Source organism: Homo sapiens, chromosome 14, assembly GCF_000001405.40.
Source record: "Homo sapiens chromosome 14, GRCh38.p14 Primary Assembly".
In the NCBI taxonomy this organism is placed as follows: Eukaryota; Metazoa; Chordata; class Mammalia; order Primates; family Hominidae; genus Homo; species Homo sapiens.
In genome coordinates this window covers 68473205-68500890 of record NC_000014.9, presented here as the reverse complement: position 1 = coordinate 68500890, position 27686 = coordinate 68473205, and the positions used below count along the sequence as shown (strand labels likewise).

Below are 27686 nucleotides of genomic sequence, written 5' to 3'. Positions count from 1 at the left end.
AGTGTCCTCTCTTCCCATTCCAGCAGGAGAGGGAGTTGTGTGGGGAGGTGCCTCTATTTGTGGCAAAGCAGGGAAAGCTCAGCAGTGGACTGTCAGCTTCTCACACCAGAGAGACCATGTGGCAGGGGGTTCTTCTCTTTTCCCAACAAGGCTGAGAGCGAAGAAAGGACCTTAGAGCCCTGGAGCTGAGAGAAAGTTGATTTGTCCCAGTTTTGACTTTATCTCCCCCTGAATGCAAATGTTTTGACATCCATCTGCTGTTAGCAGGACCCACCAGGTCATCTCAGCAACCTTCATTTCAATCAACCCATCACTCCAACCCTCACTGACAAAGAAACTCTAATGCCAGTGCTGCTAGTAAAATACATACATCAATAAATAAATCCTTTCTCATCTGACAGCTGGGTGCTACGGGCTGCTGGCCCGACCATCTCTGTGGGTCTTGAGCCTTCTGTAATACTGTGGCTTAAGCACAGGCAAACCTGGGGCCAAGGTCTGGCTCCACCAGCATTTGCCAAATGACCTTGAGCAGATTCCATTACCTCCCAGAGCCTCAGTTTCCTCATCTGTAAGATGGGGATGAGAATAGCAACCATGTAGGATTGTTTCGAGGATTAAATGGGATAATGTATGTGACATACTTAGCACATGTTAAACATTCTATAGAGTGTGGTCATTATTACTACCACTATTTCAAATAGATGTGAGGATCTGATTGAACTTCCTTGGTCCTTAGTAGTGTCCTCAGGTGAACCATGAGCTCCGATCTCTGCCATGAGAAGTTAATGTATGAGGAACGCAAGAGGGAAGAGACTCCACAGCACAACGTTTAGGAAAGTTCACCTCAGACCCCAGCAGCAAGTCCAGGGGCTGAACTCAGTTTTCTAGACGACCAGATTCTCTCTCTCTCCAGTCATTTCATCTCTCTGGGCAACCTGACTGCATTAGTTTTCTAGGGCTGCAGCAACAAAGTGTCACAAACAGAGTGGCCTAAAACCACAGAAATGTATTCTCTATAGTCCTGGCAGCCAGAAGCCCCACATCAAGGTGTCTGCAGGGCCAGGCTCCCTCTGAAGGCTCTTGGGGAGACCTCTTCCTCGCCTCTTCCAGATTCCGGTGGCTCCAGGTGTTCCTTGGCTTGGGGCTGCTTAACTCCAGTCTCTGCCTCCGTAGTCACACTGCCTCCTCCTCTTTGTGACTGTCCTCCTCTGTGTCTCTTATCAGGATGCTTGTCATTAGATTTAGGGCCCACCTGGGTAGTTCAGGATGATCTCATCTCAACATCCTTAATTACCTCTGCAAAGACCGTTTATACAAATCAGGCCATATTTACACGTTCTGGGGGTAAGGACATGGACGTATCTTTTTGGGAGCCACCATTTAACCTACTGCATCCACTAACCCTGCAAAATATCACATTGGATTATGACTAAAAAGTCAGGATAAGACCTCTCACCTGGGGTGGGTGAGGGGCTCACTCCTCTCCATGGTAACATCAGTGCTTCTTTGCTTAGTCTCAAGGAGGGGTCATGATCCACCACCTTCAAAGAAAAATCTAGCTCTTCATTCTTTACTCATTGGCAGGGAGTGAAAACAAGTTCTTTCCGCTTAGTAAGAAACATTGCATCCAATGGGGGACTCAAGTCTGTGCTGAGTCCCAGGGCTTCCTGTTCTTAGTTGGATATGTTGGGATTTCAAAACCCATTGTGCCCCTTAGGCTTACGAGTGCAAAAACTCACATGTGATGAGCCCCCTTCTGGCAAAGCCCCACCAGAAACATCATTCTCTCAGTGCTGAAACCCTTCACCTTCTCCTCTTCTTGCCAACCTCCAGAGGCCCCACACTCACTGAAAAGGGGGCACAACTCTCTTTTCTCAAAGGCCTCCTCTAGCCTTGCTCTCTGACCCCTGTTGTCTATTTCCTCCTTCAGCCCCTTATTCAACCATAGAGATCCATGTGTCATAGGAAAGACATTGCCCAGGGGTTCCCAGTCCCCTGCTGGGAAGGGCTTTCCTCCAAAATTGCTGACAGTTAAGCTACCAGACGGCAAGGGAAGACAGATTATAATACAATGCATTTTTTGTTTCTTCCAATCAAATAATACTTCTATATACATTTAGTATACGTCTCAGCTCCTTCCAGGTGGTTTTAAGAAAAAAGCCAGTGTTATGCCCTTTCCCTCTGATGAGTCTAATTGCATGGGGCTCTGGTGGTGGCCCTGCTTTGCCCTTCAAGAGCATCTATGAATAACTTTGTGTTTGTAGGTTTCTTTTTAAAGGTGTTCCTCCTATTTCTGGCTCACAGATGTTGACAAGTAGCATGTGTAGAGTTCAGTCTGCACAAATCTGGGAGCTCTGAACACTAGATCCTATATTCACAGAGTCCCCCACCACTGGAACCTGGCTAGGGGTAGGAAAGTCACCGTAACCCTACAGTCCTGTGGAAAGGGTAGAGTAGTGGGGACTAACTGGAAAGAAGTGAAAATAAGACAAAGTAGCCAGTGGAATCTCCAGTCTGCCCCTTGCTTAGCTATGGAGAGCACAGCAAGATGATGGGTGAAGTCCACTGCTTCTCTGAACCATCTTTCAACTTGTCTGCTGAGGGTCCACTTTCTCTCCTTTCTCTGCCTGCATGTTTGTGAAAAATTTGTGTCTTCACGTGGAGACTATGAGTTTTGTGTGCATGGAACAGAGCCCTCTAGAAGGGTCTTGTGCCACTTTAAAATGTGACTCCCAAAAAATCTGACCTGTGCTCATACATTGCTGATGGAAATACAAAATGATTCAGCCATGTGGAGAATAGTATTGCAGTTCTTCAAAAAGTTAAACATAGAATCACCATATGTCAAGTAAATCCACTCCTAGGTACATACCTTAAAAAATTGAAAATAGGTTTCAAATAAATACATGTGTATGCAAGTTCATAGCAGTACAATATTCACAATAGTTGAAGGGTGGAACCAGCCCAAATGACCACTGACGGATGAATGAATGAACAAAATGCAGTATATCCTGACAATGCAATATTATTCAGCCATAAAAAGAATGAAGTACTGATGCACGCTACACCATGGAGGAGACTTGAAAACATACTAGTGAAAGAAGACAGACACTATATGATTCCATTTATATGAAATATCCAGAATAGGTAAAGCCATAGCAACAAAGTAGATTGGTGGGTTTCCAGGAGCTGGGAGGAGGGGGAAATAGGAACACTTGCATAATGGTTATGGGTCTTGCTTTTGGGGTGATGAAAATATTTGGAACTAGACAGAGATGCTGGTTGCACATCATGATATCTAGTTGCCACGGAATTGTTTACTTTAAAATGGTTAATTTCATCTTATATAAATTTCACCTCCATCAAAATGAAATATTTTAGAAAGAGAAAGTTAAAAAAAAAAAACCTATGTGTTCCACGAACACAACCCAACCCTTGCTCTCATTCCCATTTCCTGTTCCCTGTGTGCCCATTGTCAGTGCCATGGTATCAAATCAGTGCCCATTGTCAGTGCCATGGTATCAAATCAGCTTATGATGCAGATTACTGTTGGGCTTGTTCTTGATCCTACTTGTGAGATACATCCTCTAGAATTCCATGACTTAAGCTGAGTCTACACAGTAGCAACCAAATGTTTTAGCAGAGAACGATGGGTGTTTCACCACAAGACTCTTTCCCAATATTTTGTTTCTGTGGCAGAAAAGCGGATTTTTCTTGGCAAGATGAACAGGTTTGCACATTTATCTGTCTCTAGGAATTTCCATAGGCTGCAAGAAGAAAAAGAACATGAGTGTCAAGATACCTAGAAAAAGATGTTGAAGGCTTGCATAAAGCCTACTGAGGCTAAAACTGTTGTTTATTGAAGTTATGGGGAAAAAAGTTCATGCCCCCATTCTGTTTGTTCCAACCTCATTTGAAGAGTTGAGAGAGAACTTGTAGTTTCGTGCTTCTAGAACAGAAAAGATTTGGAATTTCAAAGAGAAAAATGCCCATAGGGAGAACTGGGGACATGGAGATGCCCTGTGTTAACTAGGGCAGAAAGTTGTAGTCTGTTGATGGAACTGTCATTTACTCATGCACCTGAACCCTTGAAGTCATTCATGAGGGTGGAAATCAGCTTCTTCCAAGCTCCTGTTAATGTTGATATTTTGACCTCCTCCTATGAATCACGAATGTTCTTAATGGAATTCATTCATTCACTGCATATGGTCCTGCCATGCGCCAGAAGGCAATAGGCCAGGCCACTGGATGGAGAAGACCCCATCCCTGCCTTGCTGCATAAGCAGCTCAGTGAAAAAGCCAGGCAGACATACCAGGAACATCACAGCCATACGGCAAGTGCTCAGACAGAGGTATCAGGCCATGGGAGCACCAAGGAGTCACTGCATCTGGGCCCTGTCAGAGGTGGGGACAGTGGACCCCAGTGTTAAAGGAAGATGGTGACAGGAGACCAGCATTACAGGCAAGTAAGCACAGCATCCACATTGGCCCAGAGGCATGGACACAGGTGGCATATCTGGGGAACACTGCTGCAGAGAGGAGAGGAGGGAATATGGCTACAAGAGGAGAGGAGGCTGCCGGGGCAAGTTGGGGCCAGGCTGGAAAGGGTCTTACATTTGACCCATTTTTTCCGGTGACTTTTTCCTTTTTATAGGAACAACAGCCAAATATTTGTCATAAATCATTTTCCTTCATCCTGTCAGTAGCCCCCTTTTACCGATGAATACACTGAGGTTCAAAAAGGTTAAGTAATTCCAAAGAGGGATGGACACATCACCGTTTGTGCATGTTTGACACACTGTTTGTCAATGACTGAGTGGTTACTGCTGGGGGAAGGCAGGATGGAAGGATGGGACCAAAAGGACAAAGGCGGCTTTAATTGCATCAGTAACATTTCATTTCTTAAGCTGGGTTTCGGTACATGGATGCTCTTTGTGCCTTTTTGTGTGAAATTTTCATAATGACTCTTAAAGCCACTGGACTTGCGTGTTAGGGCAGCATCTTTGCTTGAAAGGAGGCAGTGTCTGAGGCTGAGGGTCCCTTGAGAACACAGGGGCAGCCCTTAATATCCAAATGCTTGATGGGTTTTTCACTGTGGTTAAGAGGTAAGTCACTATTTATTCCACCTAGTCAAGGCCTCAGAGCTGACACTTCTACAGAAAAAGCAGGACAGACAGGTTTGATTCTCCTGGTTCCCTTGAGCAGGAACTGAATGTTTCCCATCTAGGGGCATATGAGCAGAGAGGAAGGGGTCTGAGCCCCACAGTGTGTCGTCAGTTACCACTTCTACGCGCTTGGCAGCCCGTGCTTCGAGTTCCTTTTCAACTGCGTTTCCCTTCAAGTTAACACTGCTTCCTCCGCTAGAGCATCCTGCCCCTCCAGCCTAGCCCTGAGAAGGAGACCCAGCCCCCTGCCTTCCTGGCATGCAGAACTTAAAACAAGAGCTCTCTGCCATCGGACATCCTTACCATTTCCAGCTATTGAGTATAATCAGGTGTGCCAGGATCTGATTTCAAAGCCAAAAGCAAAGGGGCTCGGAGGAATCCTCTCTCGGTTGCGCCAGTGGAAGACAAAGGGGTCTGAACAAACAGGATGCACTGAGAGCTGTAGAGAGCACTCCCCAGCAAGTGGGGTGGGCAGGATGCAGGGTTGGAATAGTTGACCTGTAAGCCTGGGTGTTGGCATGTGAGGCAGTCATGCCCAGGAGAAGCAAGGCAGGGCATGAACAGATGCTGATTCATCTGACAGCCTCTCTGGATGGTTCCTGGTAGACAGTCATGCTCTTCCAGGGCCCAGGGAGTTATATAATCTCTGCCTGAATAGAAGATCCCGACTCTGGCCGTTCACCTTGCAGAGAATGCTGACATTTCTAGAAATCAGAGAAAACCCACTATGCCTTGTAGGGCAGATGAGCAGTACTCAGGAATCTACAAGCGAGTCAGAACTGATGCGCTGTGGAGCTGGAGAAGACCCACTGGTTGCACCCCAATGTCTGGGTCCTGATGGATCCATTTTTTTCTGTCCCTGTTTCTATCTCTTATCACATACTCTGCTTGCTGGGCTTGGGAACCTACATCTAGTAAACTTTCCCGATCATTAACTGGATAAAGAGTTAAAAGTCATTCCAGAGAACACGACCCTTCTTGGGAGGCTATAGTCCGAGGGAAAATTTCAGTATTTCCTTTCTCTTTCTCACTGCCCTCATTTTTATATGGCAGGAATTGGAGATGAAAACAAATGTAACAAACCCGACTTGAAGGCAAACAAAGATCATCAAAGGCAACAAGAATAGGAAGCAGCTTACAGTGGAAAGAAAGTGCCCATCTAGACTGACGCCTCACTGATGGTGAAACTTAGTGGTGCTGCCCCAGTTCACCGTCTTTCAGAGATAGCCTTGTTGGTGTTTTCAACCGGGGGTGCTTGGAGTATTGCCCACAGACACCTCTGACTGTTAGAGTGCCTCGGGGAATGCTCCTGGCATTTTCTGGATGAGGCTGCAAGTACAAATGTCCTCCAGTACACAGGATAGTCACAAAACCGAAGAACTACCCCCACCCTTTTTCTAATAGAGCAGTACTGGTGAAATTGGTCATTTTTTTTTTTTTTTTTTTGAGACGGAATCTCACTCTGTCGCCCAGGCTGGAGTGCAATGGCGTGACCTCAGCTCACTACAACCTCTGCCTCCCAGGTTCAAGGGATTCTCCTGCCTCAGTCTCCTGAGTAGCTGGGATTACAGGCATGTGCCACCATGCCCAGATAATTTTTTTTTGTATTTTTAGTAGAGACAGGGTTTCACCATGTTGGCCAGGCTGGTCTCAAACTCCTGACCTCAACTGATCCGCCTCCCTCGGCCTCCCATAGTGCTGGGATTACAGGCATGAGCCACTGCGTCCAGCCAGAATTGGTCATTTCTGACACTCAGCTGAACCTCGAGCTCCTCCAACCTGGAGCCTTTGAACATGAAACCTATAGAGAGAGTCTCTGAAAAGAATCCAATTCTAAAGGCCACTGTTGGTTCTAGATGAAATAAAAAGCACACAGAAAATGAAAACCCGCCTGACATCTATAGTTCATCAATTGCCTTTAGAGGCAACTCTTATACAAACTCCAAAATTCCCAAGAGAAATTCTAACCTGGCATAAAGCATTGGGAGATTTATGGATATGCTTTCTCCCAGGGCTAGAGTTCTGGGAACCGGAGACTCAGAGGCTGCCTCTCGGCTTCTATAAAATAGGTCTGGGACATACATTAGGTTGTTTTGTCCCCATACAGTGTAAATAGCTGACGCGTGACACTTCAGCAATGGCTAAAAAATAAAATCCGAGCTAATCGTGGGTATATGGAAAGCACAACAAATGTGCAAGTTGCAAATGATTTCTATCTATGTAAAATGGCAACATGATTGGGGCTCTTCTTTAGTATGGCCAGGGTGGAAGCTGAGTATGAGGTCCTTGGGGGAATTCTAACTACATGAAATTGAGTAACTAGGGCTGTTTTTTTCTTGGAGGGAGCAGGGAGAAACCAGCAGATACCATCCAGATTTTTCTTAAAAGGAGAGACTTGATGAATCCATCATTCTACTCATAAGCAAATGCCTTTCACAAAGAATGTGAATTCTAGTGAGATTTTGAGCACAAAGCTGCAATGTCTTTGAGAACTTGATTTATGATTCAAGATGAACTGCAGCTAACTCTGGGGTCATTCGGCCGGGGGGATGGGAAGGGCAGACCCATTAATCAAAAGGTAGCAGGGGACCCCTCCAGGTGAGCCAAATGCACAAAGGGAGGAAGTGAGTCCAGGTGGAGAAAGAGACCCCTCCCCTCATCTCCGGTGTCGCTGGGAGACAGCTCTGCTTCAGGGAAGCTCGGAGGGATGCTAATGTACATTCTCTCAAAGGATCAGAGAGGCTGCAGCTTGTCTGAGAAGAATTTAAATCCTGGCTCTGATCACGAGCTGTATGACATTAAGCAAGCTATCTAAATCTGAATCTTGGGCCCTTCCAAGATGGGGATAATGGTACTTGCCTCAGAGGGTTGTTAGGGAAATAAGCAGGCATTTACTGAGTACTTAATACATGCCAGGCTTGGTATGAGGTCCTGGAGAGACAATGGTAGAAGGGTTGACAGTTTCATGAAATCACTTCTATAGTTCACTAGGCACAGACACTGCCTATCATTTGGTAGCTGCTCAACAAATGTTACTTCCCTTCCCCTTATAATCTGTACCACTAGGCACCTGCTATGTGCAAGCTATTGTGTAGGCCCTTGGACCTGACATCAAGTAGCAATTTGTAACTTCAAAACTGGTTTCACACACAAGAACAAATGTCAGCAGTTTTTGCACTTGCTCGTAGAGAGATAGCAGGAGGGATTTTGAGCTCACAAATCCCTTCAGTTGTAGCAGCCCTTCTTTTATTGATGTTATATCCTGGACTTCTAAGAAAGATCCAACCTATTTATTGCAGGTCATTAATATACCTGACACTGCTCTAGGTGCTTAAGAAAAAAATGAATAAATCAAAGACGGCTGCCCTCCAGGGCTTATATGGTAGCAGAGAAGACACAGAATGAAGGGTAAACATTGTGAGCTATTGATTATTTATTACCTTGTATAGCGATAAGTACTTTGGGAAAATATAAGTAGAGCAGGATGGGGGTAAGCAGAGCGGGTTGCAATTTTAAGTGGGTCAGTCTCATAGAGAAGGTGATATTTTAGCAAAAACTTAAAGGTGAGGGAGTCATCCATTATGTGAGGAAAGGAGGTGAGGGAGTCAGCTATGGTACTCTGGAGAAAAGGGTTCCAGCAAGGGTTCAGAAGTGCAAAGGCTCTAAGGTGAAAGCCTGCCTGTGAGAGGGTTCAGCTAGGAGGCAGTGTGGCTGCAACAGGTGAGCAAGCGAGGAGCTGTGAGAGGCGAAGAAGCAGGTGCCGCTGGAATCGGTGGGGCTTTCTAGGCCTGTGGAAGGACTCCACTTTCACTCTGAGTGAAAAAGCGTTACTTGAGAGTTTTGAGCAGACGAATGGCATGATCTGATTTATGTCTTAAAACTGGAGAGGAGGTCATAGACTCAGGCTTAGGCCTTCCATGAAGGTTGGAAAACCAATCATTTATCTACCCTGTCATCTTCACAGGCCCCCTGGCATGAAGATTAGGCAGATTATTTCTATTCCCATTTTACAAACTGGGGAATTGGGACTCGGGAAGGCTATGGGCATTCTCTGAGGGCCCAGAGCTGGAAGGTGGTAGGCTGGGGACTGAATTCTTGCAGTGCCCCCCCACTTGGACTAAGACGGGTTTCTGGACACTAGGAGCTGTCTGCTCCACAGTGTCCATGGGCTTTCATGCATCCTTGAGGATTGTTTTGGTGTAGAGAAAAGACCAACTGGGGCTACTTTGGTTTTTGAAATTAATATTTATTACATGTTGTTACATGTTGAAAAAACTCAGTTTTCTTTTAGGCTTTAAAGTGCATCTTATAAATCTTATTACATTCTAGTTATAAATCGTAAATGGTCAGTGACAGTTTGTGGATGATGTCCTCACATTTCAAAAGATCCTTCCTTACCTTATGCCTCAATAACGAACATGATGCGTTGCACCTAGTATATCCCACATCATATATCTCAGAGTCAATCACAACAGAAAGGAGGAGGAAGGGCGGCTGCGGGCCTGGGGTTGGAGTGCAACTTGGCCAGGCACTAATCCATGACCAGGGCTGGGGCTCCAGGCCTCAGGGTCTGTGGAGTGGGCTTACTGGCAGGCACTGGCCACTGGGCAGGGTGCCTTAGGAAGGACATTGGAGAGGCATCCAAATGTAGGAAGAAAGGGAATGTTTTCCCTTTCTCTATCTCCTAGCTCCCTTTTTATCCATAACTCTGGAGAAAAATTTGTGACTACAAAGTTGTAGGCTAGTTTTGCTTCTACCATGTTAATGAGCAGAGGCTCCAGGGGCAGTTTGACAGTGTAAGGCCCCTCTGAGGAGGCCTCCCATTGCTTATCTCAGCCTTTTTCTAACTCCCCGCTCTCCCCTTGGCCTCTCCAAGGTCCATCTTTCTCTCTGCTGTCCTTCCTGCAGTGTTCCTCCCTGCCCCTCCCTTCTTTTGGCCTTGGGAGCTCTCCACCCTTCCCCTCTCAACGTTTTCCCTCCATACCCCACGCTCTTTGTTGCTGAATTCAAGGTTCTCAATACAATAAAGCTTTGATGATTTGCCCCAATTGAGAAGGAGTGTCAGCTTAAATTAATGTGGAGTCTGAATAATAGAATTTTAAAGCAAAGTTTAGTTGCTTTCATGTTGTTAAGACATCCTTTCCAGAGAGAAGAGTTAGCATTTAAATGCAGTAATAGTTGATGTTGAGAAATGGGGCAATATGTCTTAGAGAATCTTTTCAAATAATCTACCAGAAACGAATCACTTATAATTAGCATATACTTTCTTTGAATCGGAGTGTTTCTGCCTTTAAAACCTTTCAATTTTAGTGACCAACATTTTTTAAATCACTGATTTTATCAGACTTCTCTCAGATCCACAAGTTTCAACCCCTGAGTTCTTCATGGCAGAGACATTTCCACATTGAAAGTCTCTCTAGAAATTTTTAATTTTCAATGACATAAGCAATACATGAATATATTCTCTTTGCAAAAGAATTGATACTTTAAAAATAAATTAAAATCACATAAATAATAAAATCATTTCTGTTATCCCATTTATATTACTTTCTTTAAGGTGCTAACAATGTATTCTCCATAACAAACCATTCTGCACAGAAGTCCCTTCTCCAGGGTCCTATCCAAAAGGCAACCATCCACACTTGATTGGATCTTACAAGTTTAAAAAATAAGTAGAGGCTGCGGTAGTTACGGCTCTCAGCTTCCCAGTCTGTCTTTATTCTGCAATTCTCCCCACTTCTCTACCACATCTCTGCATGTTCCATTCACATATATCTGCCAGGAAAACTCACCAAGTGAAGCACATCTGCCAAATGTAATAATTAGGAAATCTAGATAAGGGCATTTGGGTGTTCATTATATTATTTTCTTTACTTTTCTGAATGTTGAAATTTATCATAATTGAAAAAAGAAAGAAAAAGAAAAACTCACCAAATTCTAAGAACAACAAAACAGCAAATGACCCTGAGAAGAATAAAGGACTGGTTCTAGTTACTGCTATTTTCCTCTTCCTACAGAGTCCCAGCCCTGCACTGGGAAAGGCTGTGCCTCATCTGTGGGAATAGGAACATAGAAATGCCTGGTGTATTTCTTAGCAATGTGTCTACTTTTTCAAGCTCTTTCACAGTTGTTCTTTTACTTGCACAACAAGCCTTTAGGGGGTAAAAAAGGCAAGTGGGTTTCCCCCATTTTACAGAAATGGTATTATTGGAAACCAAGAGATTTCATGATACTAGCTAATAATACCAGCTCACAGTTACTGCTTTCTTACTAGGCAGCAGGCATTGTTCTAGGTACTTACATGCATTAAATAATTTTAACCTTATAATAACTCTAAGAATTATATGCATAATTGCCTGAGATCACAAAGCTAGTAAGTGGTGGATTGCAGTATGAACCCAGGCAGTCTACTCATGAGCCTAAACTCACAAGCATCTATATCTTCATGTGATAACATTACAGATGCCTTTCTAGCATCCCAAGAGTTGAAATCTGGCAGCCTCCAGGGTGCATTCGGACTACAAGAGCATTCATTTGGCTTATACAATATTTTATAATTTTTGAATTTCAAGATTTAAAGAAAAATTTAATAAAAAAAAAAAAAGTTAGCCAGGCGTGGTGGCGTGCGCCTGTAATCCCAGCTACTTGGGAGGCTGAGGCAGGAGAATTGCTTGAACCTGGGAGGTGGAGGTTGTGGTGAGCTGAGATTGCGCCATTGCACTCCGCCTTGGGCAACAAGAGTGAAACTCCATCTCAAAAAATAAATAAATAAAATAAAAATAGTGAAAAAATTTATCTGAAAACCCAGATTTCTGGCTTCCCTTGTAAAATCCGACATTCTGGCAACATGAGGTCAGCATCCCACAAGATAACAATTGTCTAGAGCTGAGACTGTGAAAGAGAAATTTTTCATGACAGTTGTTAAAGACTTTAAGTAAGACATTATTCAAGAAGGAACACTGCAATGGGGTTTTGCAGCCTTGGAGAGAGATGGGCTCAACTCCGAATACAACAAGGAAAAGTGATAATGTGTAGCCAAAGAGCAGGGTGGATGTCAGTGGATGAAAAATTACTAAGAAGAAACACCAAGGCTAGGGGGATTCCCGCTAAACTGACATGGCAGGATTCTTACTGAAGGCAGGCAAGGGTGATAGGGTATTAAGGGTGGGGGCTGAGGAATTTGATTAGGTACTGAGGGTGATCAAATACAAAGGGTGGGGAATTTTCACTCAATTGACTTAGCAGGATTCTTGCTAAAACTGGACTAAGCAAGCCAAGGACAGAGCCCAAGGTTGGGGCCTAGTCAGAAAGAGGACTCAGAGGAGCCTGACTCAAGTTTGGTCAGAATGAGAGTCTTTGTCAGTAACTGGTGCCCCTTTATATACGGTAGGCTCTCTCTAATCTGTCAGTCCCTACAACTGCCTATTATTGCACCTGGCCTCTTTTTGCAACTCTTTTTACCTGTCTGGCATGCACATTTGAGTTTGTAAGCCCTGTATTATTGAAAAAAAAAAAAAAAAAAAAAAGACAAACCCTAAAGAAACAGAACGTAATTTCTGTCCTGGTGCCATCAACACACTGCCAAAGCCATTTATTCATTCATTTGTCTTTCCATGTAATAACCATCCATTCATGTATCCATCCACCCACGTTTTCATTCTTCCTGTCTCATGCACCCTCCCCACCTAGCTTAGCAATTCTCAAACTGCATAGTCATACTTGCATTTCTTGGCCAGCATCTACTTTTTTCCCAATCAGATAAGAAGGGCAAGATCAGAGGATAAGGGATGTTCTGTGAGGAAAACAGTTATGGTAGGTGTTATGAACTGAGCTGTGTCCCCTCAAAATTCATATGTGAAGTGCTAACCTCCAGTGAGATTGTATTTGGAGATAAGGCCTTTAAAAGAAGGTAATTAATGAGCAGGCATGGTGGCTCACACCTGTAATCCAACACTTTGAGAGGCCCAGTCAGGCAGATTACCTCTGGTCAGGAGTTCAAGACCAGCCTGGCTAACATTGCAAAACCCCATCTTTACTAAAAATACAAAAATTAACCAGGTGTGGTGGCACATGCTTGTAGTCCCAGCTACTCGGGAGGCTGAGGCAGGAGAATTGCTTGAACCTGGGAGGTGGAGACTGCAGTGAGTCAAGATTGTGCCACTGCACCCCAGCCTGGGCAACAGAGTGAGACTTAACTCAAAAAAAAAAAGAAAAAAAAGTAATGAATTGTACATCATGATCAACAACCAAAAATAAAACAAAAGGATGTAATTAAGGTTAAACAAGGTCATAAATATGAGGTCCTAGCCTCATGGTGACCTCAAACCAAAAAACATACAATGGATACACAGAAAATAAAAAGCAAGAAGATACTAGTTCTAATCCAATAGAACTAGTGTCTTTATAAGAAGTGAATGAGACACTAAGAGCTCACACACACAGAACAAGCCATGTGAGGACACAGAGAGATGACGTCCACCTGCAAGACAAGGGGAGAGGCCTCCGGAGAAACCAAACCTGCTGGAGCCTGGATTGCGGATTTCCAGTCTCCAGAGCCGTGTGAAAATACATTTCTGATCTTTAAGCCATGCAGTTTGTGGTATTCTTTTATGCAGCCTGAGCAGACGAATACAGCAAGGAACTGTTGTCCATGTGCCCTCTGCCTTTTCACTCCCTTTCACCCTCCCCACTTTCTCTGAACAGGCAGTCACCTAACATCCAAGGCCATGTGAATACGTACTAAGAGAAGGTGTTGGTAATCCCAGTTAAGAAGGTCTATGGTTTCTCCAGTGGTGTGACCGCACCATCAGGATGGGCTTTGAGGGTGGGAAAGGGATGAGGAGATGCCACTAAAGAATTCTACCAGCGAGATGAACTCAGGCCATCTCACTAAACCCTGTGTGCTTGAAATGGGGAGTTGATGCTTAAAGTTTACAGACTTTGGAGTTGAGGTGTGGGCATGAAAAATATTAGCAAAACCCAAGGTGGCTTAAGGTTCATCCAACTAGTTGGTTGGGTTTAACAAGCAGTTTTTGTCTGGAGATCCTGAGTCCAGCTTAAACAGTGAGGGTCAGAATAATCACTGCAAAATTTGCTTCATTTTAAGCTTTCCTCCGGCTTTTCACCAGGTGTTCTAGTTAGAGAGGCTTATGTTATTGACACAAAGATAGGTCGTTGTTGATTAACTCCGGAGGGGCACAGAGAACTGGGAGAAAGCCAAACTGGCTTCTGCCTCATCTTTGTATCAACTTTCAAGCTGTTAGATTGGTAATGACTGTGGGGTTTGGACGATGGTGCTGGGATGAGAGGCTGGACAAACCCCATATAGGTTTCTGGGCCCCAGAGGACAGCCAGTGGCAATAGACTTAAACCTCCGATTCTAAATAGAATGGGCAGGGATCTGGAGGTGCTCTGGAGGAACTGACTAGAACCCCACAGTAGCAGGTTTGGAAAAACTATCATAGGCTCCTAGGGAAATGTTGCAATTCTAGTCACTAGATAAAAGTGTCAGTCACAGGACAAAGTTTGACCAATGATTTAATCACCTTTGACATACCCGGAGTTCAAGAAAGGGCAAGGAAACACAGACATTTAGACTAGCCTCTCCTTCACTCCTAGACTCACGTCCACTAAAAATAATATGGGCAGACTGAAATTTGAATACATTTGGTTTGGGTTTGGCTTTTAGCCATCTGATGAGGTACAAAAGTAATAGTATCTAATGAATAAATGGTAAAGCATACTACCACAATTCAGTTTTCCCCCTAATCCTCTGGTTGATGCATGAATTCATATAAAGCACAATTTCTCTGACTCATTTGAAATAGGGCAACACCACACGTGACTAGTCGTCCAAAAACCATCATGAAGATTTGTGAATAACTTCCAATAAAGAGCTTTGGGCACTAAGAACACAATTGGCAAAAACTTGATCCAAACCGAGTCCTTCACTTGTGTTTTAAAATCTTAGTTTGAAAGTTATTTGGGACTTCTTAGTCAAGAATCTGGACTTTACAAGACCTGAGGGTGGGGGCTGGAGAAATGCAAGGATCAGGGATAGGGACAAGGGATCCTTGCAGGGGACAGAGAAGACCTTGGGGGTTAATGAAGAGAGAATATCTTCCCACTTGCTTGGTCAGGGTTCCTCAATGGAAGCTCCTCTTGCTTCTGCTGATGTCTGTTTTTTTTTGAAAAGGAAGTAACTCCAAAGACTGGTGGAAGGAGGAAAGGTAGCTGGGTCCCATGGTGGGAACACAATTTTCTTTAGCTGAGAGAGGGATTTTATTTTCATTCCTCTTTTCATTACACACCTTCCCTAATCTTCTGTATATTCTTAAATAAATCTCAACAGCTCTTCCTTCCCACTCACTAGTCCTATACCTCTGTGACTGGGCACTTTAACAGGGTGAGAAGTAAGATCCTGGAGTCAGGGGCTGGAGGTGAGCAGTGAAAAGAGATGCCTAGGCTGTGAGGGTGTAAGGGGACCAGGTCTACAGTTATGAGCAAGAAGCAAGAGGGAATGAGTATGCTTGCAGTAGTCCAGTTAGAGGGTGTAAAGCATGCCCTGGAGTTCATCACTGTCTTGCCCTCTCACAGCCCCTCTAGGAAAAGCTGGCCTTCCCACACCTCCTGCTGCTTGGGCAGCTATGTTTTCAGCGACTTCCTTATCCAACAAAGGTTTGGTTAGCCAGTGACCAATGATGTTGTCTGAGACAAAACACTAAGATAAGTCCGAGCTAATCAGATTCTCTCTTCAGAATTTTAACCAAGGAAAAAAGCCAATGGGAACTGAAGTTGAAAGGCTAAGAGAGAAACACAGGGTGAGCCATGTGCAAACTGAAGTTTTGAGTAAATAAACTATAGTATGCAGGACAAAATCTGCTGGGAGAGTGAGAGTAGCCCTGGGCAGACATGTAAAGAAAAGCAGAGACCCCAGGATAATGAATTCCCAGGGCTGCCTCCCCTCCAGAAGGCTTTCCAATTCTGCACCACCTATATCCTTAACAGTATGTGTCCCCTTTTACCGGAGATAATTGAGACTCCTCTTCCCAATGAAAATAGCCCAACTGGGCCAGGCACGGTGGCTCACGCCTGTAATCCCAGCACTTTGGGAGGCCGAGGCGGGTGGATCACGAGGTCAGGAGATCAAGACCGTCCTGGCTAACACGGTGAAACTCCGTCTCTACTAAAAATACAAAAAATTAGCCGGGCGTGGTGGTGGGCGCCTGTAGTCCCAGCTACTCGGGAGGCTGAGGCAGGAGAATAGCGTGAACCCGGAAGGCGGAGGTTGCAGTGAGCTGAGATCGCGCCACTGTACTCCAGCCTGGGCGACAGAGCAAAACTCTGTCTCAAAAAAAAAAAAAAAAGAAAAAGAAAGAAAATAGCCCAACTGTAACTAAAAGTTTGTACAAGTTTCATGCAGGTAGGTTGAAAGCTGAATTATTGTCTGAAGACATTTGCTTTAGGGAGAGTGAGTGGGCTGGCTCTCAGCAAACATGGCCTACCACCACAGCTTACTTGGAAGCAGCTTGTGTACTTGAGATTAGGTTTTAGGCAGGAAACAGGGTGACCTAATTTCTCCTTTGTTCTTATCACCTCAGGGTACGCGAAGTCTATGTTTGAGACCTGAAGAAAGGAAGTCTTGGCATCTACAAAATACTGGTTTGGTCTGAGAAAGTTAAATCCCTGTTAAGTCACCAAAATCCAGGTCCACAAACCTCTCTGAGGAAAGCTTTAAAACATGATTTTTTCATTGGTTGAAAGGAGCAAAGAGGTGTGGTGGTCATGTTGGTTCACCAACAAGAACTGATGAATCATTTGTTATCTCCCATTTCAAGGCTCAGGAGGGCTAAACTGGAAGGAAAACCAAAAGCAGCTCTTGTCAATATGAGACCTCCTTCATCTCTTATGTCCTCAGCTTTGGAAATGCCCCCAGGCAAGGCTGCCATCAGCACTTGACTGAAAACACATGGAGGCAGCCCATTCAGAGCAGGAATTCATTACTGAAAGAATAATAAGGGAAAGTTTCTCTCTCTTGCAGGGAGAGCTGCTTTCTGGAAAAGTCACAGGGCTTTGAAGGAACGTGCATCATGTCTGGTAACAAGCGGCAGAATGGAAATGGAAGGGCACATTTCCAAAAGTCTTTTCACACAAGGCATGATGGTCTGGGGTCACTCAAACTAGTTGTTCTATCTTGAATGTGTCATTGAAATCAGGCCATGGCTCCCTTGAACCCACTATCCCTTCCCAGAGTTACTTGTGTCTGAAAGCTCTAGGGGAAAAGTACCCAGAGTTAACTGGTCTTTCTTGGCTACCCCTCTATTTCAAAAGGTCACCTGTGGACTAAAATAGGCTGCAAAACTGTTTGGTCTTCCTGAACACTACCCCATAAATCTTTGATGTATGCCAGGTAATCTGAGGGAAAGGTATATACAAGCGTGAATATGGAAGAAGGAAACATTTGCAAGCCCACTGGGTATAGCTGTGCATGCCAAACATTACAGGTGTTCACCAATATCCAGTTCCCCTTTCCTTCAGAACATGGAGGAAGTGGTACCTTCCTGCCTCCTGGAAGTTAGGAGTGGCTGCATGGCCAGGAGAGTAGAAGGAATGTATATCATTTTTTGAGGGAAGGACTTAATTATCAGTGCTCAATCTCTCTCTCTTTCTTACTTTCTTCTCTCTCTCCCCCATCCACCTTTCCCTTCCCCTACTGTGGCAACTGTGGCAGTGCATGTTAATACTGAAGTGCAATATTGAGTCACACATGGAGAGCTTGTCTGGAGAGTCTCAGACATGCATGGATTTTGCAAGTCACTGAGATTTGGGGGGACTGTTTGATAGGGAACAAAACCAAATGTGTCCTGACTTATGTCTAGTGATTTAATGGTTTCCTCTCCTCCCAGATCTATTTGGAGTTTTGGAAAATATGTGTTCCATCTGAACCCTGCCCTCACCGAAATTCAGAAGTAGGCAGTGTGTTTTCTCTCACACTTAGGATGTTTGGCTGAGAAGTGTGATGAGTGCCTTCCCTCCATTTGTGCAAAAGAAGCCTCTTTGAATTCTGGAGTGGAATGAAGAAAGTCCTTTCACAGCCACAGGATAAAAGTGATGGTGATGATATTGAAAATAAAACATGGAAAAAATGACCCTTCCAAATGGTTCCAAGACCAGTTTTTAGGCTAGAATCAGATATTTTGCACTTCTCCTTGCCTTCACTCACTTTTCTCCCATTACCTAATCCTTATCCTCCCTTTCCAGAATTCTCATTTGGCAATCCTGGTTTTGCTGGACAAACTTTTACAACCCTGTCTCTGAGCAGTCATTTTGCTTTGTTCACAACACACAACCTAAAAGACATTATGCACAGAGTTCAAGGCTCTCTGGGTTAATCCAAAATGTTCACCCTGTAGGCTGACGGGGACCACACATTTCTGAATCTTCACCAGGACTGCAATACCTTAATAGAATGGCCAGAAGGCTAGCAGGATTAGGGAGACAAAGTTGAACTTTGATACACACACACATACACACACACACACACACACACCCCTAAAATATCTCTGAATTGCATCATTAATTACTTTCAGTAAAAGTAATTACTTTCAGTAAAAGTAATTAATGATACAAAATGCCACACTAGAATCTCATGGGTGGTACCAGCTTGGCAGATTATCAGCTCACGGGGAAGAATGCTACCTGTGTCCTTCTTTCTTGTGAACATTTCCTGGGGCAACTTTCCTGTGCATGTCTTCTGCTCCTTAAAAATGGTGACATGATAAGGCAGTGATGGAACCTCTACTATATTCTGAGCATCACTGCTCAGAGTAGAAGATCAAACTACTAGCATTGTTCCTGGTGATTCTTTTATTTAGAAAATATTCACTGAGTTCTTTACTATTGTGTGTGTAGTATTATGCTGAGTACTTTAGTGAACTTAGGATGAATAAGAGTTGTGAACAGAAATATTACAGGGCAAGGGATGAAAGAGAAAAGAGAGTAGAACTGCCTGAGTTCAAATCCACATTTCATCCTTTCTGGTGACAAACTGAACCTCTCCTGCTTCAGTTCCTCATCTGTAGAGAAGGAATAATACAAAATTCTACCTGTAAGATTACTGGAAGCATTAGAGAAGATTGTGTATGTAAAGTGTGTGTCAGACACGCAGCAAGTGCTCCATATCAGAGGCAGTGCTTACGTCCTGTCCCTGCAGCATGGTTTGTGGTGAAGGCCTGGAGGGCCTTGGGCAGGAGAGTACTGTATTGGTTTGTCAAACACTGGGTATAGGGCACTCTCTTATTGTTTCTTGGGGTCAAAAAGGTAGTCTCAAGGAGGAGCCACTTAATTTTTGACATTTGGAATTAGGATATGTTTTCCTCTTGCTTTTTTCAGACACTTTTGAGTGATCCATTTTAATGTGTGAACAATGTAGCATTTTTTTTTTCGTGGCAGACAATGGAGGTGAAGAGAGAACAATTAGGAGTTGCAGAGAACAGACAGCATCTTGCTCAATGTAAGGGAGGAAAAATAATATATTTTCCTCACCTATCTCAAGGTTCGTGGCTGAGAGCACTACAAGAAAACACAGATTAACAAGAGAAAAACATATACATTTACCTTTTTCTTGTTTTAAACTGAAAGTACCTACTAAGTGACTCAACCAAAACCAAAGAGCCTTTTATGACTTCACCATGGACTAAGAAGGGGTTCTCAAAAGAGAGTGCAGCCCTCCCAAATCCAGAACTACCCCCAAAGAGAGTCAAAAGAAATATACAAATAAACCCCCCAAGAGCTGGCAATACTTGGTAGGATAGCTGGAAATAGGGTGCAACCCACATTTCTGTCCAGCCGTATTCTTGAGTTCCCTCCCCTGAAGTTGGTTGGGGAACTCAAGACAGCTTGCATGCCCCAACAGGGAGAAAATCAAACCAAGTTATCAGGACAGAAATTGAGAAAAACAAGGAAAGAGACAGCAGTCCCTGCGAGGGAAAGGATCAGTAACAAACGAGTACCTTAAAGCCAGATTTAGTCAGAGAGTCACAATATAGACATTTTTTTTTTTTTCCTGATAATCTGAATTTGGGAAGGAAGGGACAAGGAGAAATTTCTAACGTCTCTCTTGACCAAGCACTACAGACAGAGATCTGGGAGAGCTGACTTTGATAAGAATTCTAATTTTTCCAGCTTTTTGTCAGTTGCCCCAGGATCTCATCTGCAAGATCCAGAATGAGTGGGGTGTCTCAGTCACCCCATATTGGGCACCAGAAACTGTAGGGGAGAAAAAGTAATATCTTGCATGAACGCATTGCAAGGTTCATGGCCAAGGCCCCCATAACAAAAGACAGATTTACAAGAGAAGGCCGGGCTCACACCTGTAATCCCAGCACTTTGGGAGGCCGACGAGGGCAGATCTCCTGAGGACAGGAGTTCGAGACCAGCCTGGCCAACATGGTGAAACTTCATCTCTACTAAAAAAAAGTACAAAAGTTAACCGGGCATGGTGGCACATGCCTGTAATCCTGGCTACATGGGAGGCTGAGGCAGGAGAATTGCTTGAACCCGGGAGGCAGGGGTTGCAGTGGGCCAAGATCATGCCACTGCACTCCAACCTGGGTGACAGAGCAACACTCCATCTCAAACAACAATAACAGCAACAACAACAAGATTTACAAGAGAAAAGCATAAAAATTTATTTAACGTAAGTTTTATGTGACATGAGAACCTTTAGAAATGAAGACCTGGCTGGGCGCGGTGGCTCATGCCTGTAATCCCAGAACTTTAGGAGGCTGAGCTGGGAAGGTGGCTTGAGCCTGGAAGATCACTTGAGCCCAGGAGTTCAAGACCAGCCTGGGCAACACAGTAGAGACTCTGTCTCTACAAAAAATAAAAAATTAGCCAGGTGTGGTGATGCCCATCTGTGGTCCCAGCTACTTCGGAGGCTGAGGTTGGAGTATTGCTTGAGCCTGGGAGGTTGAGGCTGCAGTGAGCTGTGATAGCACTGCTGTACTCCAGACTGGGAGACAGAGTGAGACTCTGGCAAAAAAAAAAAAAAAAAAAAAGAAGAATAAGAAGAAAGACCACCCCCAAACCAGGGAAATCTGTGTATTTTTATGCTTAAGTTTGATGAAGAGTAGACAGTCAGGCAGAAGTATGATTGGAGGACTAAAGAGTATGATCTAATGGGAATAAACTGGGGGAAATTTAGCAAGGCCTGTTTGTTCAGATTCTTCTCTGTCCCTGTGTCTTCAGAGATAAGGACATTCCTTTCCTCTGGGTAGAGAGTGAACACTTCAGGAATGAACATTTTACAACCTGCTTCAGGAGAGGAGGGGTGAGGGGAAGGTGACAACGGCCTTCCTGCCTCTGCTGTTTTTTCAAGGCCAACGTGCCGGATTTTGGAGTACTGTATCCTGAACCCTACCTCCAACTTCTCAAATAGTCCCTTGATGTCTGAAATTAACCAATTCATGTCATAAGAATCCACAGGAAATGTATATTTCCTGATTAAATACGAAAACTCACCTTGGTTTTCACCAACATTCTATTGAACATCCCAAGTTCTCAAAATGTACCTCACTCAGAGGGAGACACATGGTCACAGCCTGGGACATCTTCCTGCTCTGCCTCTTCCAGGTCTACCCAAATCCTTCTTGCCTTCCGATGCACAGCACACCAATACCTTCCCTGATTCACTCCAGCTGAATAAGATGCTCTTCCTATTGCCCTTGCTGCCCGGGGCTTGGATGTGATTCTGCTTTATATTATAGTTAATAGTTTGTAAGTCTTTTCCCATTCCTTGGAGTACATTTTTGGAGGGCAGGCACACACTGAGCTTTGTTTTCAAGCTTTACCTGAGCACTTGGTATGCGCTCAACAAATACTGAGTCGTTAAAGGACTCAGTCTTTCTTCATCAATCTTCATCAATCTGCACCTACTTGGTGCACAGCACTCTGTTGGGCACTCATAGGAGACATGAAATAGGATGAGACTTGATTCTAGCCCTCAATGCACTAAAAATCTCTGATGGAGGAGCAGGTACAAAGTGATTCTACAGAGGACAGCTTGAGGTCACTAACAACCTGGGTAAGATAGGTCACAAGGCCAAAGGCTGGAAAGATTTAATGCCTGGCTTTGAAGGGGCTAAAGCCCCCAGACCTTGCCCTGAACCCAGTCTGATGCTTCAATCAGAGCCTCATGGCAGTAGGAGTGTGTAGGCTGGGTGTTCTACTGGAAACGACTAAATTATCCTACGGGTCACCAATTGATTTATTTGCTAATTGACTGGCCCAGCTTTGGGCTTTAAATCTAAAGAAATCATTTCATCCTTTATTAAATACTGCATGAGTCTCAGTCTTTGTTCTGCAGGGCTATACACAATATACCAATAAAACTTGAATTTACACTACAATAGTTATGCCACTAATGACCTTCAAATGCCACTAATACCATACATGCTCCACTTCTCGGCTGGATCTGAACCTGTCAGTGAATTCTGAGCCCATCGACCTCCCTCTGACACAGAGTCGACCCCCTTGCCCATGCCCGCCCCCAGCCTCCCACATCATTCCATGATTTCATTTCTGAATCGGTTACTATTTGGAGACCCCAATTCCTTTACACCTACTCTTTTTATCTGGTAGACAATACTTTATTCGGAAATGTTCCCTCCTGTAATTACAAATCTTGTTAGTCATCCTCCTCCTCTCCCCAGGAGGATTGTGGGCTTTAATTAATTAATGTGGTTAAACCGCTTTGAGGTGCCTGGTTGAAAGGTGCTATATAAGTGCAAATTATTATTATGGCTGTTGACATCCCATGGCGGCAAAGCCCTCAGCCCTACACATCTAGAGACCTGAACAAAGGCTTCTTCATCTTCACCTTCCCTGCTAGGTCTGAAATCGCTAGCTCAATGGTTTAGGAGCAAATCTGTTACCATCTCAACAGCAATCAACTAATTAATCCCCATTATGTCAGCTTCCGTTTCCTTCTTCCAAGCAGTACGGTCCTGTTTTATTTCACAAATCACACCCCCATCAACTCTAGACAAAGGTCACAGTATCCCTATGGCTTCTCTTGGCCTAAAGGAAAAAAAAAAAAAAGAGAAAGTTTGAAAAAAAAAAATTGTTATGAAATGCACTAACTTCCCACCAGCAACCTAAATGGAACTTTCCTCCAACAGCAGTCCTCTTTCATACGTATTGCCCACAGAGCCACTGGCCTTGCAAACCAGAGATCCAGAAACACAGCGGAAGTGTGGGTTAGGGTCCCGCAGCCCTGGCTTGACTAAGGATAGCTATAGACAAAAGGGGAGTGTCGCTGCACTGGGTGGGAAGAGGTCATCCACAGAAGCAAGCACCCCTCTTCAGCTTTCTCTATGACCCCCAAGTTTCCCCTGAGAAAGCCAGCTGCCATCTGTAGCCAGGAAGCCCTCACAAAGGCAGGGGACCATGATTTAGATGTTTTGTGCTATATCTAGCACACCACAGTCCTTAACAAATGCCCAATACTTCCACTATGATGGTAGCCATTGAAAGCAGCCCTGTGGGGGAGACTTGGCCTCGCATAGGGACGCGGCTGACCAAAACACTCCTTACAAGGTTGTGCCTCACACCCTTTGTTCCAGTGGATGTGGGCAAGCCTCAGGGGGTCATGTCTTCATCTGCCTTCATTTATCCTCCCTATTGAAGGGCTCCTTCAGGACACTGGTCAGCCTCTGTGGGAAATGATTTGGAGAGCAACAAAAGAACCTGGGCTCTCTGGGAGGGCTTCAGAATTCAGTAAACATCTGGACATGGAAGGCCAGGTTCTCAAGCAGTCTAGCTGGGGAGATGTCAAAAGAGAGAAAGAGCTGTGTCTGCAATGCAAGCCCTTAGTTCTGTGGCGACATTTGTTGTAGAAAGACACAGACACCCCAGTAGGTAGATAGGAAGATTTTTCAAAAGCTCCTCTATTTGTCGGGTTTTGTGAGTTCAGTGCACTGTTTGTCAGTTCTCATGGCATGTGTGAGGAAACAGAAGTTTCGCATGGCTGGCGAGCAGCATGTGATGGGTGTTCTGACTCTGTGTGAGCTATGAATAACCTGAGGTTGCATAAGCCTGTCCTGGTAGTTGCTGTTAAGCTGTCTGTTATCCTTGAAGTTTGTAAAGCCCTCATGGGTCAAGATGACTTACTGGATTCTCACCCACGAGCACATTTTAATTGACAAAAAAATTAAGCACTAAGTGGCGAAATGATTTACACTTCATCGGTGAAATTCAGGATCTGAACTCTTGACTCTCAACGTTGCCTTTATTGTTGAGTCAATCCATTTAGAACACATTAGTCAGCATGACTCAACATTCACTACTAATCAGCATTAGTGATGGAACTAATCAGCATTCCCCAGTGTCCCTGAATCTATCCTCAAATAGCAAAAGAAATTGGCTTCTGTCAAGAGACAATGGAATGCGGTTTTTGTCAGTATTCACAAGCTGAAATCCAGTCCAAGTCCCACGTACTCTCAAGAACCTACCTCAGTCATCCTACTTGGAATAAGTCTATTCCCTTTATCCTTCTATATTCCACTGTTTGAACCTTGGTAATAGGTATCACAGTTGGCTTTTGATTAAACTTATTTAACTACATCTCTCCTAACTAGATTCTGGGCTACTAAAAGGAAGGGACCTTTTTTTTTTTTTTTTCAGCCTTATATCTCTTGACCCCTGAGCACCATGCTTTGTGAACAATAGATGCTCAACAAATATTTGCTGAACTGAACTCACTGAAATGCAGCTTAAATCATATTCCAGAAAGAACATGAAGTTCTTTGGAAGAGACTTTCAAAGAAAATCAACAACCTGAATTGATTTAACATATTTTGGTACTGTTACCTGGCCATTTTTGCAAATGCAAATTGTTAACTCTGCAAAGATAGCCAAGTGGCTTCCAGGTTCTAAAAGAGAAATGTAAATCCAGTCTAACTATAGTCCAGGCCTTGGAATAAAGTTTTTCTCAATAATGTTATTTCAACTGATATTTTGTTTCATTTTTTTTTTAAAAGTGGAGGTAGGAAAAAACATTTTGGAAAAAAAAAAGTGTTTGGTCTATGACTTTGGACCCAAGTTCATGCCCTGCCTTGTGCTATAAGCAATAGTAGCTCTCATTGAAGTTTCTTTCCTGGATACTGCATAAAAGCAAAACACATACTAAAGTTCCTTCCTGAAGGAGATTCTGTTTTGGGTGGGCAGAACAAGATTTTTGGGTGCTGATCCTTGGTGAAGTGATACCCTTTCTCTTCTACTTTAGAGTCTGGAACCAAAGAGGGTCCTGATGGCACTTTTCAATACATACAATATTTATGCTGCATTTTAAGAGTATAACTCTATTATGCAACAAGCCCAGCCCTTACGTCTGTACTATTGCACCTAATCTCTGCAACTGGGCTCTTCAGAAAGGGCTGTGTCACCGAATATTCATTTTCTTTTCTCATGATAACAGAAATCCCGAAATTTAGCTGGGTATATGGCCACCCAGATTAATGACTATATTTTTAGCCTTTCTGATCATATATTTACAGACTGGCCAACATCATATAAACAGAAATAATGTGTATAACTTCTGGTTAATGTCCTTAAGGGATGGGGGATGCTTTCTCTCCCACCACCATTCTCTATCTCATGCACATCCTGCTACTGGGATGGAGGGCATGATGCTGAACCATTCTGGACCATGGTAACGGCAACATCCTAGGTGTGACAGAGCAAAAAGTCAATGGCCTGGGCTCTTCGATAGACATGTAGAGCTAAGCTGCCAAACCAGCTCTGGACTGCATTCCTCCTCGGCACTACAGGAGGAAGCAGTACATCTCTATCATGTATACCACTGTTAGTTTAGGTTATAGTTACACCTGGCCAAACTTATAATCTAACTGCACTCAGGGACTTCGTTGAAGGATTATTGTATCAGTATGACCAATCCATTTTAGCTTAGAATTTCCAGATTCAAATTTCAGGACAGGCCTGAAGTATCTCAACAGAGGCTCATGAAGCCTGAGAGGTAAGTTGTCACAGGGGCTTCCCTGATGGAAGATGAGAGGGCCCAAACCCACTTCGGATTTTCTAAAATCTTAGGAGCCCAGGCTGAGGGCTTAGAAATGGCTACAAACCCAATTTTGAGGCAGTGAACATTACTTTACCTTTCTGGAACTCAGTTTCCTCAAGTGAGAATCAGGGTGATGGATGAGATTAAAAGCTCACTTTCTGGGAACTATTATATAGTTAACTTTAGGGAAATGAAGAATTTTTTTAAGATAGAGAGAGATGGGGTTTTGCTCTGTCACTCAGGCTAGAGTGCAGTGCATCCCTAAAGAAGGCATGAGAAGACTGCCTATGGAAAGATGACAACAAACTTAACGATTATACGAGGCTGCAGAGAAATTGGTCTACTATCTCCAGAACGAGTATAAATTGGTAAAAGTCTTTGGAGAGCAATTTGGGAAGATATAGTAAATGGAAACGTGTAGACACTCTGACCAGCCATTCCATTTTTTATATATACCTAGTGAAACTCTCATACCTAAACATCAAGAAGCACAGGTAATAAAATTGTTACAAATAATCAAAATTTCCATAAGTAGGGGAGTGGGTAGCATGTGGTACATTCACACACTGAATGGATGTGGATATCTAAGGTGAAAGAATGTGACCTGTGTATCACGTGGCCTGTGTATCATGTGACCTGTGTATCACATGGCTATATTACAAAAACAGTGTTAAGCAACAAAAGCAAGTTGTGAAATCGTGTACAATAAATCATTTATGCAAATTTCAGAATGCACTCAAAATCAATCATTATACTATGTGTGGATTCACATATATGTAGAAAAGTTTTTAAGAATGGAGAGGAAAGATGTAGACCAAACTCTGGAGAGTTTCCACTTTTGTGGAGGAATGTGGGATAAGGAGGGAATGGACCAGGAATAGGTACAAAGGAGTCCTAAAGTTTGTCAAGTTTCATTCCTGTAAATAAAAAAAAAATCTGAAACAAATGGGACAAAATTTTAGTATTTATTTGGGGTGTTAGATTCACCTGTTTTCTTTTATGATTTTCTGTACTGTTCTGTATTTAAAATTTTTTTTCATATATTATAAAATATTTCCAAATATTGTAAAATCTCTCTTCAAGGCTGATTGCCAGAAAAAAAAAGTAAACAAAGCAGAGAGCCTGTGTGAGAAGATGTCATGGAGGGAGGGGATGTAAAGTGAATGTGCACAGGGGAGAAGAGAACTGAACAGATACGAGTCCTTCCTCTCCTTTCTCATCTCCCTGGGAGGTCCCACACTAAGAGGCAGGCAGAAGCAGCAAAGGAGAGCGCCTTGGCCTAGACAAACTTTCCGAGGCTGCAGTGGCACCTGGCAGGCTGGGGACAATGTGACAGGCCTGCTTTGCCTTCTTCTCCATGACCTCTGGGAGAGGAGTTCACTCTCTTTGCTCCATTGAGTTCCAGGGCTCTTTGCCCAGGCTCCTACAAGAATGCCAGGCTG

General features: G+C 43.8%; 1 protein-coding gene across 11 annotated transcripts in view, besides 2 other annotated features; it reads right to left on the bottom strand.

Annotated features, from left to right (window-relative positions):
- The window catches only part of RAD51B (RAD51 paralog B), an 863318-nt gene that overhangs the window by 182206 nt on the left and 653426 nt on the right, over positions 1 to 27686 (bottom strand). For 2 of the 11 annotated variants that reach the window (NM_001321817.2, NM_133510.4), the window contains one exon: positions 22798 to 23243. The exons of 8 other annotated variants lie outside the window; for them this stretch is intronic. In NM_001321817.2, coding sequence (NP_001308746.1) covers positions 23227 to 23243 — 17 coding nt within the window. In that variant the 3' untranslated portion in view covers positions 22798 to 23226. Of the gene's footprint in view, positions 1 to 3009; positions 3768 to 22797; positions 23244 to 27686 lie in introns of those variants that run through there. One more of the 11 variants, NM_002877.6, reaches the window with a different exon arrangement.
- Positions 23548 to 24747: an enhancer, noted in NCBI's record as "MED14-independent group 3 enhancer chr14:68942861-68944060 (GRCh37/hg19 assembly coordinates)". NCBI's record gives its function as "activates an origin of replication core promoter dependent on BRD2, BRD4, P300/CBP and CDK7 cofactors, and independent of MED14, by STARR-seq in HCT116 cells {active_cell/tissue: HCT116}" and the evidence as "EXISTENCE:reporter gene assay evidence [ECO:0000049][PMID:35650434]".
- Positions 24332 to 24551: an enhancer, noted in NCBI's record as "active region_8609". NCBI's record gives its function as "activates an Ori minimal core promoter by ATAC-STARR-seq in GM12878 lymphoblastoid cells {active_cell/tissue: GM12878}" and the evidence as "EXISTENCE:reporter gene assay evidence [ECO:0000049][PMID:35858748]".